Source organism: Homo sapiens, chromosome 17, assembly GCF_000001405.40.
Source record: "Homo sapiens chromosome 17, GRCh38.p14 Primary Assembly".
NCBI classification, from domain to species: domain Eukaryota; kingdom Metazoa; phylum Chordata; class Mammalia; order Primates; family Hominidae; genus Homo; species Homo sapiens.
Window position 1 is genome coordinate 47,806,780 of NC_000017.11, and position 15,255 is coordinate 47,822,034.

At 57.7% G+C, this 15,255-nt stretch overlaps 1 protein-coding gene across 4 annotated transcripts, besides 3 other annotated features; it reads right to left on the reverse strand.

Annotated features, from left to right (window-relative positions):
* Positions 1-592: 592 nt before the first annotated feature.
* On the reverse strand, positions 593-15,015 carry OSBPL7 (oxysterol binding protein like 7). 4 transcript variants are annotated; one of them, NM_145798.3, is made up of 23 exons: positions 14,887-15,015; positions 13,425-13,586; positions 13,192-13,317; positions 12,950-13,003; positions 12,207-12,320; positions 11,727-11,837; positions 11,490-11,607; positions 10,477-10,580; positions 10,001-10,093; positions 9,784-9,916; positions 9,609-9,703; positions 9,328-9,423; positions 8,436-8,573; positions 7,742-7,835; positions 6,808-7,055; positions 6,487-6,624; positions 3,993-4,056; positions 3,815-3,893; positions 2,555-2,699; positions 2,297-2,441; positions 2,085-2,211; positions 1,759-1,881; positions 593-1,620 (listed from the first exon to the last, which is right to left on the reverse strand). In NM_145798.3, exons 2-23 carry the CDS (start codon positions 13,497-13,499, stop codon positions 1,512-1,514), a joined length of 2,529 nt encoding a protein of 842 aa, NP_665741.1. In that variant the 5' UTR covers positions 13,500-13,586; positions 14,887-15,015; the 3' UTR covers positions 593-1,511. The 4 variants fall into 4 exon arrangements, 3 of the variants coding, with proteins under 3 accessions (NP_665741.1, XP_047291248.1, XP_047291249.1); XM_047435292.1 differs by having other exon boundaries at positions 14,618-15,015; XM_047435293.1 differs by lacking the exon at positions 12,950-13,003.
* Positions 1,621-2,121: an enhancer, noted in NCBI's record as "H3K4me1 hESC enhancer chr17:45885766-45886266 (GRCh37/hg19 assembly coordinates)". NCBI's record gives its function as "activates a minimal SCP1, AML or CMV promoter by ChIP-STARR-seq in naive H9 embryonic stem cells {active_cell/tissue: H9 hESC(naive)}" and the evidence as "EXISTENCE:reporter gene assay evidence [ECO:0000049][PMID:30033119]".
* Positions 2,122-2,622: an enhancer, noted in NCBI's record as "H3K4me1 hESC enhancer chr17:45886267-45886767 (GRCh37/hg19 assembly coordinates)". NCBI's record gives its function as "activates a minimal SCP1, AML or CMV promoter by ChIP-STARR-seq in naive H9 embryonic stem cells {active_cell/tissue: H9 hESC(naive)}" and the evidence as "EXISTENCE:reporter gene assay evidence [ECO:0000049][PMID:30033119]".
* Positions 14,978-15,193: a silencer, noted in NCBI's record as "fragment chr17:45899123-45899338 (GRCh37/hg19 assembly coordinates)". NCBI's record gives its function as "represses an EF-1alpha promoter that drives an FKBP-Casp9 reporter gene in an ReSE screen in phorbol 12-myristate 13-acetate-treated (for megakaryocytic differentiation) K562 erythroleukemia cells {active_cell/tissue: K562(+PMA)}" and the evidence as "EXISTENCE:reporter gene assay evidence [ECO:0000049][PMID:32094911]".

Sequence of the window (15,255 nt, forward strand, 5' to 3'; positions counted from 1 at the left end):
AGAAGTGACAGGGCATCAAGCGGGAGGGCAGATGGCCTCTGGGCTTTTGGCTCAGGTTAGTGGTGGCTGTATTCAATTCCTGAGGTTGCTGTAACAATGCACCACATATTGGGTGACTTAAAACAACAGAAATGTATTCTCTCATAGCTGAGGCCAGGTGTGAGCAGGGTTGGCTCCTTCTTGAGGCTCAGTGGGAGAATCTCTCTGTTTCTCTCCAAGCTTCGGGTGGTTGCCAGCAGCCTTGGCACTTTTGGCTTTCAGATGCATCGCTCCCATCTCTGCCTACGTCTCCACGTGGCCGACTCCCGTGTGTCTGTTTCACACACTTGTCTTCCCTTGCGTACGTCTGCGTGCCCAAATTTCTCTCTACTTATAAGGAGACCAGTCACTGGAGTAGGGCCACCCAAATCCAATGTGACCTCATTTTAACTTGTCTCTGCAAAGACACTATTTGCAACTAAGGTCACATGCACATGCCTGGGGGCTAGAAACGTTTCTTGGGGACACAATTCATTTTACCCATGACAGTGGCAGAGGGCTTTCCACTGACCATGAGCCCACATGTTTTTCAATGAATGGTCACAGGCCAAAGTCTGGGACAGTCTTTATTGGAGCTTGGAATGTCATAGCAATTCGCCCTCATCAGAGGCAGACTGTGAGAAAGAGCAGCGATGTGGTGGACCCCCAGCAGGGGGAAGGCGGGGCTACATGAGGGAGCCCTGCTTGCCTGCAAGCAGGGCACAGGCGCACACGCATACACTCTCCTACATGAACTTACACTCACACCTGCGCACTCGCTGCCGGTGGGTCAGAGGACAGGTGCCTTGGGCTGCTCCCCTCCTCATGGAGAGGCCTCCTCCACTCTGGGGGATCCGCTGAGCTGAGACGGGAGGGAACCGCTTGAGGATCAGGGACGAAGGAGCTGGAAGCTGCAGGCATTTTGCAGTTAGGGAGAAGGGATCCAGGACAGGAGGGATGGCCAGGGACTAACCAAAGGGAGCTGGAGAAGGCCCTGCAGGGCCAGGGAAGGGGAAGAAGATGCTGGAGATGGGCAGAAGGGGAGGGAGAACAGATCACCTCCTCTCCTTCACTCACTGCAACCTCACCGCTGGGGACAGAGGCCTGGGCACAGAAAGCCTGGGGAGCGTCAAGGAGTCCCCTGTGTCCTAGGAAGGCACTGAAATAGGGAACAGATCCTGGGAGCCAGAGTCTCCCCCAAGTACCCCAAAGGGGACAGGAATCGGAATGGTGAAGCGGGAAGGGTCTTACATGCTGGTTGTCTGGGGCAAGGAGACTGGGGAAGCACAGATTCTGCTTCTCACCCCAAACGGTGGGGTTGGGGGTGGGCTGAGATGCAGACCCTCTGGCCAGCAGAGGGGAGGGAGGGCCAGGGCTGCCCCTTTGGTCTCAAGGGCAGTGAGGCGGGGAGCCCGGCCTCACCCATGTGTCCATGGTAGGGGGTGGAGGCAGGAGGAGTGAGGAACCAGAGCCTCCTGCCCCCGGGGCCAGGGCTACCAGAGCACGGCCCCATCCATGTTCCCATAGCCTGGCTCGGCCCGCAGCCTCCAGTAGGTATTGTTGGTCACCCACCACTCTTTCCCGCTGCTATCCGTCTGCCGCCTGGTGGGAGAAGGCGGTGGCAGTGAGGGGTGAACATCTAGAAGGCAGGCTAGGGTCCTAAGGTGCTGCCTCCCACACCTGCCCTGCTCCAAGCAGGGCTCATGGGGAGACCCAGGGCGGAGGGCGAGGCCGAGGCACCTGAAGAAGCGAGCCTGGTGTACGATGTTGTTTTCCTCCATGACTTTGCGCCTGTCTCGCTGCAGCTGCTCGATCCTTCTCTTCTGGGCCTCAGCGGCCTGTATGTTCCCCTCCTCCAGGTACCTGAGGATCCAGATCAAACTCAGGGGAACTGCCCATCTGCAGGGGCCCCCAAACCCAAGGCCTCTGTCTCTGCCCAACTCTGTCCTCTAGACAAGCCCCACTTCTCTGAGGCCACTCAGTGAAGGAAGGACAAAGCCCCAGCTCTGTACTCTGTGGAGGGAGTGAACTAGATGGTTCTAGGCCGGCACCCATCCGGCACTGACCTCTGGTCTGGCCGGAGTCTCGTGTCGGTGGAAGGCAGCGACCGTTTCAGCTCTGCTGTCAGCTCATTCAGCTCCAAGGCAAACTGGGTGAAGCCGAAGTTTCGCTCATGGTCGGGGGGCATTGAGTCTGGGGGAAGGCAAGGGGCTGGGGCAGGTGCACCATGCCTGAGCTGCTCCAGCCTCACCCAGCCCTCTGTGACCCCTCCACTTACTGGGTTTCCAGATGCACTGGCCACCTGGCGTGGGTCCCCGGTACAGCCCCTCGTGCCACTTCCCAAAGAGTCGGTGGAGGACACGGCCACTCCGACTGAGCACAGCGCCCTGCACCTCGTGGACATTGGAACTCCAGTACTTGGCCTGGGGTGGGGAAGGCAGGGTTTAGGGAGGTGTCCCCTCCCCCTTAGCCAGGGTGACCTCCAGAGACAGAGGCTGCCGGGGATGGATGGGCAGGGTCAGGGTGGCACACACACCTTGCAGAAGGTGATCTTGCAGTGGCAGGAGCTGTCCTGTGTGTTTCGGATGAGCACCTCCCCATAGTGCTCGATCCAGCGCTGACCACTCAGGACATTGTGAATGCAGGATGTCACCTTGTTCCACTCAAAGTGGTCCCCAAACCTGAGAAAGACAAGGTATGGAAGGGCAGCTGGCTGGCCCCAGGGAACAAGTGAGTCAGGGGCCTCCTGTCTTGCTGAAGCAGGTCATGTGGGCCTGTGACAGGAACCCTGGGGTCCCAACTCCAGTTCTGCAGTGAAGGATGACTTATATTCACAAGGAAGAGTGGCCTTCACAGAACGTATTCAACGAAAACATCTCCACTCATCTACAAAGCCCCTGAGTGCCTGAGCAACAGGGATGAAAATACACAAAGTGTCCTGCCCCTGGGCACCAGGAACCGTGTGTACGTTCACATCCGTTATCCTGCTTAATCCTCACCTCTCTTGGGTATTACTTCTTACTGTCATGTCACAGGCAAGCAGGCTCAAGGCTCTGAAGTGTCAAGTCTTTTTGCTGCTTGCATCACTATTTTCTTTTCTTTTCTTTTCTTTTCTTTTTTTTTTTTTTTTGAGACAGAGTCTTGCTCTGTTGCCCAGGCAGGCTGGAGTGCAGTGCAGTGGTGCAATCTCAGCTCACCACTACCTCCGCCTCCCAGGTTGAAGCAATTCTCCTGCCTCAGCCTCCCCAGTAGCTGGGACTACAGGCTGGTGCTAATTTGCATCACTATTGAGTGGCAGAACTCATGGCTTCTGACTCCAAAATCCAGGATCTCTACCACAACACCCAGACCACTTTCAATACCCTTTTTCTTTCTGGCTTCAGACCTCTGCCTGTAAAATTAGCTAGATGAGAGTTTTTCAAATTTTGTCTGTGACCCCTGAGTCCTGAGATCAATTTAGGTTTCTGTGTGTGTGTATGTGTACACATTGGCTTGAAGTCTCAAAGGCATTTCTGACTGTGAGACTGTGAGTCATGGTCAAAAAAGTGTGAAAACCGCTGAGTCAGATGACCTCGATGGGCCCTTCCAGCTCTACTACGTTCCAAGGCTTTTCATCTTTCTCTATTGGCAACTGCTGTAAATATAGGTGTAAAACCTACAGACACTGACGCCACTGCAAGCAGCTTCAGGCCAGACCTTCCTATCCCGTCCTTATCCTGTCCCTAAGGCCACGCCCCCTCCAGCCTGAAGGATTGCCTGTGGCTTGGCCTGGCTGCTGAGAGTCTAAGAATCCCACCTGGGCAGGCTGACGTTGACTGTTCCCACAGGCACAATCTCCAGGGATTTGCCCCAGAACTTGTTCTTCCACTTCATATCTGGAATTGGATTAGGGGAGGGAGAGTGAACAACAGAGATAAGGCCAGAGGGTGTTCCCTTTGCCCAGGGCCACCCCGGCCCTGCCCTCTACTCCTCACCTTGCCAGAAGGCGAAGTTCTCAGACTCTGCATGGCAGGCCGAGATAGGGGGGTGGTGGGAGACCTTGGTGAGCAAAGAAGTTATCTTGAGGCTGTCCCCGAGCACCATTAGGCTACCCCAAAGTCCCTTATTCCCACCCCTAGTTCCCCTAAGTACCACAAGACCAGTTGGTTCCAGGTTTCCTGTCCCTATCACCCTTGGCCACCTCCTAAACCCATCATCCTCCCTTCTTCCCATGAGGCCCCTATGTTCTCCCTTCTCACTCGCTCTTCCTCAGAAGCTCCCCTGGCTGGCCCTGTCTATGGCGTCCTCCAGAACCCCTGCTCAAGCCTGAAAAGTTCCCCGCAACAGTGATGGGTGGGGCCTCCACCCCATGCCCTGCCTGAAACCCAGCCCTTGCTGATGACCCTCTTCCCCACCATCTCCCCCCACCCCACCCCAAAGCTGATCATCGCCCTGCAACCTCCACCCCACACCCTTGGAAACACTTGGCCTTGTTCCCACTTGGAATGGCTCCACATCTGGAGCCTTCAATTCCAACATCCCACAGCCTGCCTGCCTTGCCTCTCTCTCCGTTCCCTGTCGCCCACAGCTCCAGCCAAGATGACCAGGTCCCCGACTGCACTGCCCTCCCATGGTCTGCCAGCCCCATCCTGCCCTTCACAGCACTCTCAGCTAATACCTTCAGCCACCTCCCCCACTTGCCAGAAATGCCAGCACCGGCCTCCTCTGTGCATCCCTGGCTCTGACTCTGTTGCCAAAACACAGACACGACCCACACTAAGAAACTGCTAAATCTACAATGTCCTGTATCTGGGGCCTTGACATCCCTCACCAATCCTCCTCTGAGGACCCAGGCACAAGCCAGGCCCTTCGAACCTCATTCGCCTCCCACAGTCTGTGGCAGAACAGAAGTGGGTCAGGGGGGCGATTCCTTCTGTCTGGCGGCAGTCAGCCTGCTCCCACTGATGCCCCCCAGGCTGCCCACTCCTCCTCCTTCTGCACCTTCAGTCTTTCCCTCTTTATTTCTCTTTCTCTCTGAATATAAAGATTGTCTGTTTCTTCCACCTTAAAAAATAGTAAATCTTTCTCTTCTAGACACACACTTCGTTGTTCACATATGCGTAAAACATTTCTGGGAGGAATCCCAAAAGCTGGTAGCAGTAGTCCCTTCGGAGTGTTGGGATGGGAGGGAGGCTTATTTTCTGTTGTACGCACGAGTGTACTGTGTCAATCTTCACCATGTTTCCAAAAACACTTCAAATCCAAACAAACAAACAAACACACAAACTGCCTCGACCTTTATCCCCCACCAACTGCCACTTCTCTCTCCTCTGTCCCTCATGGTAAAATTTTTGGAAAATAGTCTGCTTTTTTCTCTATTTTTTCATAAAACCTACACTCTACACCCTCTGTAATCCAGTCTCTGTCCCCATCCTGTCTCGGGAACCTTCCTCACGCAGGAAGCCGATGACACCCCTCAGGTCCCAGGGACCCGCGACCCCTCCCCTTCGGGGCCCCCAGCGCTCCTGCCTGCCCTCCTCCCTAGACACTGCGAGCAGTCCTCCCGAGGGCAGTCCTCCCTTGATGTCCTCCTCCCTCTAAGCTGGCCACTCTTTGACCTGTTAGTGCCACCTGGTGCTCTTGGAGGAGCTCCAGGCCAGCGACTCCAGAGCCTCCTGGCCATCTCCTGTGGAAGTCGAGCCCACATAGTGTGTTCCCACACACATTGTCCACCTCACTAACTGGCACCACCATGCACCCACTGAATTCCCCAGACCAGGCCGCCCAGACTTCTCCCTCTCAACAAAAGCCTCCCCATCCCCTACACGGGAGAGTACGCTGCTGAGGACCAGCCCCTGTCCGGGGCAGCACATAAACAGCTCTTGAACCAAACACACCACAGCCTAAGTGCAGGGACTCATTAGCTCTACAGAGATGACAGGATGCACCCTGTCGGCCTCCGCCAACCAGGCACACACCACCCGGGTGTGCTTTGCACACTGTGATTCTCAGCAGCCACTCCACTGCCTCAAATCCTCCATGGTGCCAATGCCTTCAGGATTTAAAAACACACATACAAAAGCCCAAGGCCTCTTTCCCTTCACTGGCAGGGCTCCTCAGCATCTGGCCCACCTTGTCTTCCAGCCCCATCTCTAACCTTCCCAAGCCTGCTCCATGCATTCCTCTACACCATCTAGAAGGAACATCCCATTCTCCCCAGCCCCTGTACTCCCAGCTCTCTCCAATTCATCCTTCAGTTCATCCTAGCCCAAGATTGCCCCCTAAAGCGTGAGCCCCCAGGTGGAACTCCTGGGATCCAATGGCTGGACCTCAGAACGTGGGCCAGGAGCACCGCAGAGCCCGGCACAGAGCCAACTGCCCACGCTCCTCTCCCAGGCCCTGGTCCCTCTGCCCCAGTTCTGGTCCCAAAGCCCAGGTCCCTCCTTGCCCCAGACACCCAAGGCCAGCCCTCTTCTCCCAAGGCCATACCTGCTCACTGATGAAGCGGAAGCCTCGGTCAGGCCGCTCACACTCGTAGGTCTCCCCCAGGACAGGGTTGAAGGGCTTGCAGCCGGCTCGGTGGTATGTGGAGGAGTAGGCCGAGACAGCAAAGGCTGCGATGTACACCTGTGGGGGGCAAGGAAGGTGCAGGGTACTGAGGACGGGGCCGCCACCCCAAGCAAGCAAAGTATGGGATCTTGGGGTGGAACTTCAGCAATAAGGAACAGCCCAGCCAGGATTTTCTGGGAGAAAAGATCCCAGGGAGAAGGAAGCAGCCTTGGGCTGGGCGTGAGGACAGGAAGCAGGTACCATGCGCTCGCAGGGGTCGGCGATGCGGCTGGCCTGGTCCAGGAGGCTGCTGTACTCCAGCTCCTCGCAGAGCCGCTGCAGAGTGTTGAGCGGCTCGTTGAGCTGCACAGGCATTGACACCTTGGACAGGTCTTTGCCGATGTTGTTGCGCAGAATGTTCCACAGGCTCACGTCAGCCCCAGGCCCGCTGGCCGCCGGCAGGCAGCGACGGCGGGGTGGCCCCATGGGTCTCCCTGGAACACACCCCCCTGGGGCCGCCCTGCCATGTCACTCTCCATCTGGGCACCAGGCATCCCAGACATGGCAAGCCCACAGCCCAGTCCAGGGCCCAGCTGCCTCCCAAGCCCCTGGGACATTCGCCCCTGAGCCCTTGTCTCGACTCACAGCAGGGCAGGGTGACTGGGGCTCTAACTGCTGACAAGTTCCCAGGGACTCAGTTGGCTGGCAGGGGTGGGAGCCATGCAAAGGGGCAGACAGTTCCCACTGCCAGAAACCCTGCACCCCAGGAGCCCCTCCCGAGTCCTCACCCTTGCCTTTTGTTCCCTTTATAAACACAGAAACAGAGGTCAGGGTGCAGATTATCCAGCCCATTTTATGGATGAGGAAATAGGCTCTCAGAAGTAAAATGAGAGGTCCAGAGCCACACTGCTAACAAGCAGCAAAGTGGGATCTCTTGCCTCCCTCCAAGGCCCTAGGCAAGCCTGCTGCAACAGAGGCCAGCCCCAAGGCCTGAGCCTGGCCCACCCCAGCAGAGCTGCTCCTGGAACATTTCCCAGTTCATGACCTGGCCTTCCTTAGCTCCTGGGGTCAGCATCCAAAGCCACTAGCCCATCAGTCACCACAAGGGATGGCCTTTGCATGGGCCTGGGCCATGGACAAACCCTGTTTTTCCACCCGCCTCCCACCCCTCCCTGCCTGCCCACCCAGCTGGCACCTTTCTGACAGCGCTCAGCTCCCCTGAGGTCCAGCATCTCCTCAGACAGGCTGGTGGTGATTTCACTGGTACAGGACTCCTCCTCCTCTGAGCCCTGGGCCAGGACAGATGACAGGCCGGGCAGACTGGGCCTCCCCCGGGCAGCTGGGCAGTGCCCAGGGCCTGGCAAGAATCTGCCCAACTAGCCCTTTGGTGGGAAGGGGAAGAGAATGTATTGGGGGCACTCTGAGCCCTAAGACATTGCCCCGGGATGCCTGGCATCACGGAGTGTGCCCAGCCACCTTGGGAAGGGGAGGGCCGGGCCCTGTGGCTGGCGGGAAAAAGCTCAGGGACTTGATGGGACACAGAGGGAAGGGAAGTTGGGGATTACTGAGGGTCAGGGTTTTGGAAGAGGGAATCAAGGGAGTGCTGAAGCTGAGACAGGGTCATAGGAAGATGACCGGGGTTGCAACTATGGCAGTAGTTTCAGGAGAACCCAATGGGGATACAAATGTCACACTCCTCTAGGAGAAGAGTCCCTAGCAGAGATTTCTGAGCTGGGCCACACAAACTCAGCTGATCTGGACATAGTCCCAGAGATAGCAGCTGAGGTGGTGAGAAGGGGCTGAGGAATCTATGGTCTCTGTGGACCCCACCCTTCTGTTCCCAAGGTCCCCCCTACCCCGCCTCACTGCCAGCTTCTCTCCTCCCTCACCTCATTCTCAGAAGAGCTGGCGGAGAGGAGAACCTCGCAGGCATCGAAGAACTCCGTGTGGGAATCAGCAAGGGACAGGATGCTGGTCTGCGATAGCTGGGGGGTGAGCTCGCGCCCCTTCATGTACAGAGCTTCTTGCTGTGGGAGCAGCCAGATGGATGTCAGGCTCCGGGGCCAAGCCGGGGGGATCAAGCAGGGCACCCGCTTGCCTGACAGTTCCCTTGAGAGGGAGGCATAACCGGGCACTTTTGCTGAGTCAGACACCTTCTGAGCAGAAGAGGCAGAGAGGAGTGAGAGCGGGACAAAGGCATAGTAAAATGAGCCCTGGCCTGGGAGTGAGGGGACGCAGGCTCCATTATAACTGTTTACACTTCCTGGCACTGACCCTGAGCCCCACTCCAAGCCCTCTGTGTGCACTAACCCATTCAATCCTGACACCTACCCTGTGAGGTAGGTGCAATTATCACCCCCACTTTGCAGATTGGAATGCTGAGGCTCAGGATCACAAAGCCGGCAGGCAGGAGAGCCAGATTTGAACCCGTGGAACGTAGCCCCAGCGTCTGTGCTCAGAGCCCGAGTCTCAGTTCAGCCCGTCTATAATTGCAGGAGCCTGAGCCCACCCATTAGATCCTTTGAGCCTCAGTTTTGTTATGCTGAGGGTGAGAATCACTGCATCAGAGGACCCCGAATTAAAAGTAAAAGTACCCTGCACGTTGTTACACAATGATCGAGATGGGGCTGCCGCTTACCTTATGGGAAAGACAATGGAGCCAGGATTTTTGGGCTGTCTTTGGGACTAAAAACCAACTTTGCCCACTGCCCTGGGCCTTGGCTTTCGCTGGGAGAGAAGGCACAGGAGAATCGGCCCCCACAGCCCACCCTGGCTCCTCACCTCCTCAGGGTTGAGGGAGCTGAAAGAGTCCGCCGTGGTGTCGGAGGAGGTGGACAGTGAGTGGAGGCGCCTCTGGCCAGTGGAGGCCTCAGAGACCTGCAGGGAGAGGGTGAGGGACACGGTGCCAGGAGGATGAGGTCCTCCCCACCTTGCCGCATCTCTGCAGAGACTGCCTCTGCCAACCCCCCACCCTGACCCAGATCTGCTATCGGACCCCAGGCTGGCAGTCCTCAGCTTGAAGCCCTCTCCCCGCACCAGTCACCCTGTCCCCCAGGCCTCACCCCCATTCTTGACAACTCTGAGCCCTGGTGCATGTCCCTCAGTTGGTCCCGTTCCATGGTGAGGGCGGCCAGGACGCTGCTGAGGGAGCTGTGCACTACAGGGAGTGGGGCAGACCATCAGAGTCCTCGCTCGCTCCTGTCCGCTCCCCACCAGCCCCTCCCAGCAGGCACTTACCCTTCTGGGCCAGGGCCCAGAAGCTGCGCTGCAGGTGGGCATAGTCTGTGGGTGGCAGCCCACGGGTGCCCGAGGAGTCCCGAGACTCCAGGTAGCGAGACAGGTTGGGAACAGAGCCATGGAGACGACCAACCTGTAGGTGAAGGGGAAGGGCTGAAGGGGCCGGCCTCCTTAGAGCATCCTGCCCCAGCTACGTGAGGTGCATGCCCGACCTCACCCGTCCAATGGTGTCATCCTTGGCAAAGCTCTGGGTGCACCACATGCGGCTTGTCCGTTTCCCCTTCTTGGGTCTTTCGGTTGTCACTGAGGCCTGGCAAGTCAAGGTGGGGGCAATTTTACTCACAGGGTGGGGAAAAGGGGCAGAAACCATCACAGCCTGGGAGAGGTAGACGGCCTCCTGCGCCATGGAGGAGGGCGCAGATTACCCAGCACAGAGGATGCGGCCGCTCAGGCAGGGCGACAGAGACAACTGACATCCCAGTGGAAGATGACAGCCACCCTGGCAGAGGCATGGGCATGGAGGAACAGAGACAATCTTGATACAGTTTGGACATGGGTAAGGGGTGGGGAGGAAACCAGGCGATGCATGGCTCTCCAGGAAACTGCAGCGATGTAGGAGGAATAGGACCCATCCTGGGGAAGTGATGGGATCGGGGGCCTGAGCAGGACCCTGTGTGTACCCCTGGATCTTACCTGGTGTGTGGGGATAACAGGGGCTGAGGGGATTCGGTGCAGGGACTCCAGGCTCTGGAGGAGCCTGTGTAGTTCCTGGAGCTTCCCCTGACACTCAGAGAGCTCTGCGGGGAAAAAGAACAAGAACAAGAACACCATTCATTTTTTTTTTGAGACGGAGTTTTGCTCTTGTTGCCCAGGCTAGAGTGGAATGGCGTGATCTCGGCTCACTGCAACCTCTGCCTCCCAGGTTCAAGTGATTCTCCTGCCTCAGCCTCCCGAGTAGCTAGGATTACAGGTGCGCACCACCATGCCTGGCTAATTTGTTGTATTTTTAGTAGAGATGGGGTTCCACTATGTTGGTCAGGCTGGCCTCGAACTCCTGACCTCAGGTGATCTGCCCACCTTGGTTTCCAAAAGTGCTGGGATTACAGGCATGAGCCACCGAACCCAGCCTCAAGGACATGACTCTCCCAACACTGACTTCATGGAGATCCCGATACTGCTCCCTGTTCCCTGTTCAAGAGCTCAGGTCGCTACCCCTGTTGGTGTGGTGCCCCCTGGTTTCCTGGGAGGGTCTGAAGCCTAATTTCTGCTCTGTCTCTAGACCATGCCTCACCTTTGCTGCCTTTGAGCAGACTGGGGATGTGCTCACCCTCTCTCTCTCTCTACTTGGTTTACACTTCTCCCTCCAGGCCAACTTCACAGACCCTACTGCAGGAACCCTTTCCTAGAGCACACCCCTTCCCTGGCGCTACTCCTCAGGCCCCTGCCCTGTGTGGGCACTCAGTATCTGCTTTGTCACAACTCCTGTCCCTGCATCCACGTCTGTCTATGTGCCCAGGCAGACTCTTACTCCTCTGTAAGACTGGGACTCCCCTAGACAGGGCCCAGGTAGACTGGATCTCCTTGGAGGCAGAGGCTGTCTCATTAAACTGGGGCTCCCTGAGGCAGGGATGGAGGTAACATTTTCCCCTCCTAGACCTGCCAGCTTGGGGCCTACCCTTGGAGGTGCTGCGCCTAGGGCCCCTCACCATGAGAGCAGCGGTCCAGCCCATCACTGTCCCTCAGCCAGGAAGACACTTTCTCCCGCGGTCCAAGCCCAGGTAGGGCTGAGGCAGTAGCTGCTGTTGGAAGCTGGGCACCAGGAACCTGTGGGGTGAGCCCAGGGTCAGGAAGGATGATGCCCACCTCCCTGGGTCTCACAGTTCTCCATAGCCCTTGCCCCTGAATTGCCACATTACCTGCCCCCACCCCAGGGTCCACCTTACCTTCCGGTGAGCAGTACTGGGCAGTGAGCCACGGGGCATGTCCAGGCGGTGGGCTAGGCGGTGGGCACGCAGCTGCGCCACCCAGCTCTGGAATAGGTCCTGGGATTTGATCTGCAGAAGTGATGGAGAGGGGGAGGGCTATCTGAAGAGAGGGACCACTTTCCAAGAGCAAGAAGTCAGGGCTCTGGTCCCCAGACAAGCAGGGTCTCTTCTTACAGAGCCTGGTTTGTGCAAGGCTCACTTGCAGGGAGACAGAGCGCAAGGCGCCCAGGTGTCTGAGCCCTTAGCTCTGTGCCTGTCCATACAACAACCAAGAAGTGCAGGTTTGCCCTTGGCTGTTTTTACAGGATGGAAACTTACTTTTTGTCAAACTCAGAGACAGACCCTGAGTTCCACAGACCCTCAGCCCCTGCCCCTGTGTGTTCCAATGCCTCTGTCAGGTTGGGGGCCAACACACGTCCTGCCTCCCAGGGATGTCACCTTGAGGTGGTAGATGTTGTCTTCAGTGTCAAGGTCAATGCGCTGGGCCTTTTTGTTGATGGACATGACCGACAGCCGGACATCGATGGAGCCATGGAGCTTCCCCTTGGTGATCTGGGGGTGAAGTGTTGGTAGAGGGAGAGGGGACCTGTTTTAGGCTCTCAGAGCCATAGAGCCACCATCTCCCTGATGCCATTCTAGGCTCAAGGGCCAGGTGGCAGGTTCACCCTCATGTCCAAGTCACACTATCAGTAGAGACTTGTCAATCATCCTCCCATGTGCAGAACGCTCCCCTACGTCAAGTCACATCTTGGTCTCTAAGAAGTCACAGATCAAGAAAAACTATTCCCACCCTCAGGGGTCTGCAGGGTTGTGGAAGGCAACACCCTCCCAGAGAGATCCTGGGTACCCAGGCCTTCAGTTCCTTGTTCCCAGCCTGAGAATGGGACCAGGATGAGGGTGGTAAAGCCCCCATTTCTTGGGCACTTATTCTGCCCTGTCCAGAGAGCCTTGTACGTATGACCTCCCTTACCATGACAGCTCTGCACCTGGGGGATGGTGCTCTCCCATTAGAGGTGAGGAAGCTATGGCCCAGGGATGTAACTTGCCCGAGATCACACATTCAGCAAGTGGTGGACCTGGGATTCAGACCCTGCTCTGGTCGATTCCAGATACCCCATGCCTGCCCAGGGCATACTGGGGCCAGACTCCTCCCACAACCCCAAGCCACTGCCCGGGCTCACGTCTTGCCGGGTTGTTGCATAATGAAGGATCCCGTCCTCGAGCACAAAGTATCTCTGTGATGTTGCCCAGGAGTGACAGGACCCGGGAGGCCGAGAGGAAGGGCATGAGGGAGAAGGCAACCACACAAATTAGCTTTTCTTTTCCTTCTCATCATGCAAACACCATTGGACTGCCCAGCAGCTGCCCCCCATTCCCACCCCGCCCCCCATGTCTGGACCCTCCCTTTGCCTGCCCACCCTACCTTGTGCCAGCCCTTCAGAGGCCACTTCCTCTTCTTGAGCAGGTGACCTTCCTGCCTCTCAGGCATGACACCCTCTGTCCCCAGCCTGACCCGAGGCTCCTCCACCACCTCCCACAGCTCAGAGGCCTGCAGTCCAGGACAGAGGGAGGGGAGCACTGGTGAGACGTCCGCCTTGGCCCCTCCCTGTCTGGTTCCAGCTTGGCCCACCCACCACCGCTTTCCCACTCTCTGACCTGCTGAGCACTGCTGGGCTTTGAGGACTGAGCGCTCTCAGGCAGGAAGGGCGGGTCCCTCTCTTGGAAGTCCATGGAGAAGGGAGAGGCCACTCCCTGCTGGGGATGTAGAGCAGGGAGCAGGGTGGAAGGGGAAGGATGTCACCTGCTCCTGACGGGGTCCTTGAAGCAAGAGAAAGACCCCCTTAACGCAAACTCTGCTATCACCTTCCCCACCTCCAGCCCCTCCCACACCCTCTGAGATAAGGGCTCCCCAACATACCCTCTGCTCACCTGCCAAGCCTCTCCCAAGTCTGCCCCTCTGTCCCGACCCCACCCATTTTCACCTGATATGGACACTGCCCTGAGAGTGAACTAGCACACAGCAGACGGGCAGGTGCCCAGGGAAAACCACAAGACATATGCCCAGCCCCGCCTTGGGCACATACTCTGGGGCTCCAAGAAACATTCAGTGCTTTCTTTAGAGGCTTCCCTGGGAGTGCTCAGAGGTGAAGCAAGGGAGTGACAGAAGAGGCTCCAAGAAGAGACAGAGGGGTTCAGAGACTGGACAAGCGAGACCTCCTCAATCCAGCTGCCTCTGCCTTCAGGACCCCTCCACCCTGCCACCGTAGCTCAGAGACTTCTCTGCCATGATCTTGCAGAAAACTCCCCAGCCTCCCACCAATTAATCTCCATATTATCTAGTGCTTGGAGAAACTGAGGCCTGAGATAGCCCCCATTTTCCCATGTCTCCTCCCACCAAACATGCCCCTAGGATGCCCTTTTTGGACCCTCAGTACCCCCTAAAGCCTCACCATCCCCTGTCTACCCTCACAGTCCTTGGGGCTCTGAGAAGTGCCACCCACCCAGAGAGGGCAGGACATTGGGCTAAAGGAGATACTTCATGAGAGAAGAGGGGGCCCAGGACATGCCCAGGTCTGCACAGGTCCTGCAGCAGTGCCCACAGGCACCCTTGGCACTGGCCCTGGCCATCCTGGCTCCACCGGGAGATCAATAATGCATGAGGCTCTGCATGTGTGAGACGGGGGAGGGGACTGGAGGGGCGAGGCTGGTTTGAGGTGGGGGAAGCAGCCCAGATCTTCTAATGGAGCTAGCAAGCACCTGAGGAACTGAGGCCCAGAGGGGACAGGGATGTGGCAGGAACGGGTGCCCAGGAGGTTGGGGCAGAGGGACCCTTGCTGCAAGAGGCTGACCTGGGAGGAAACTCCTGCATTCAGCCATTGAAAGTTCTCAAACTCTTCCGGTGTTCAGGTATCTCTGGGCCCTTCTCCCGGCCCTGTGGGGATCCTGGCCCCTCACTGCTTGTGGGTAGAGGGGGAGGCTCTATCGGTAGGCAGGTGAAGGGTCTAGGTGAGCCAGGTGGGTGCCCCCTCTCCACCTCTATTCAGGAGCAGACCCACCAGCTTCAGGTGGGAGGAAGCTCTTCTCAGGAATGTCAGCTGCTGCCACGCAGCCCCCTTACCCCAGGGTCCATGGACGCCAGTACTCCTTGGCCCTTGCGCCGCTCTGCCTCTGAGTCACCGTCTCCGAGTCACCGGCTCCCTCCTCACCGCGCTGAGCAGTGGCAGCAGCTGCTGCAGGAACCAGGAAGGAAGGAGATGTCAGAGCCTCCCCTCTAGCCGGATCTCCCCACCTCCCTCTCCCCTGTCCCCTCCTCCCGCCAAGCTCCGGGCAGCCGCTCAGCTCTGCCCCCCTGCTCCCCGGAGGACTCAGGGCTGAGCAGACTGCCCTAGCATCGATGTGGCTTGGGAGTGGGGGCACAGTCCCTGCTGGGCATGGTTCCAGATAGATCAGAGGACTGGGGAACTGTTGGCTGTACGCCAGTGGTGAT

Excerpts from the sequence above, each read along its gene's own strand:
- OSBPL7 (NM_145798.3), bottom strand. The coding sequence starts at position 13,499 with ATGGACTTCCAAGAGAGGGACCCGCCCTTCCTGCCTGAGAGCGCTCAG. Across the intron at positions 10,581-11,489 it reads GCTGGACCGCTGCTCTCATG|AGCTCTCTGAGTGTCAGGGG; the intron begins GTGAGGGGCCCT and ends TTTTCCCCGCAG. Across the intron at positions 8,574-9,327 it reads GCTCCCTCAACCCTGAGGAG|CAAGAAGCTCTGTACATGAA; the intron begins GTGAGGAGCCAG and ends CTGCTCCCACAG.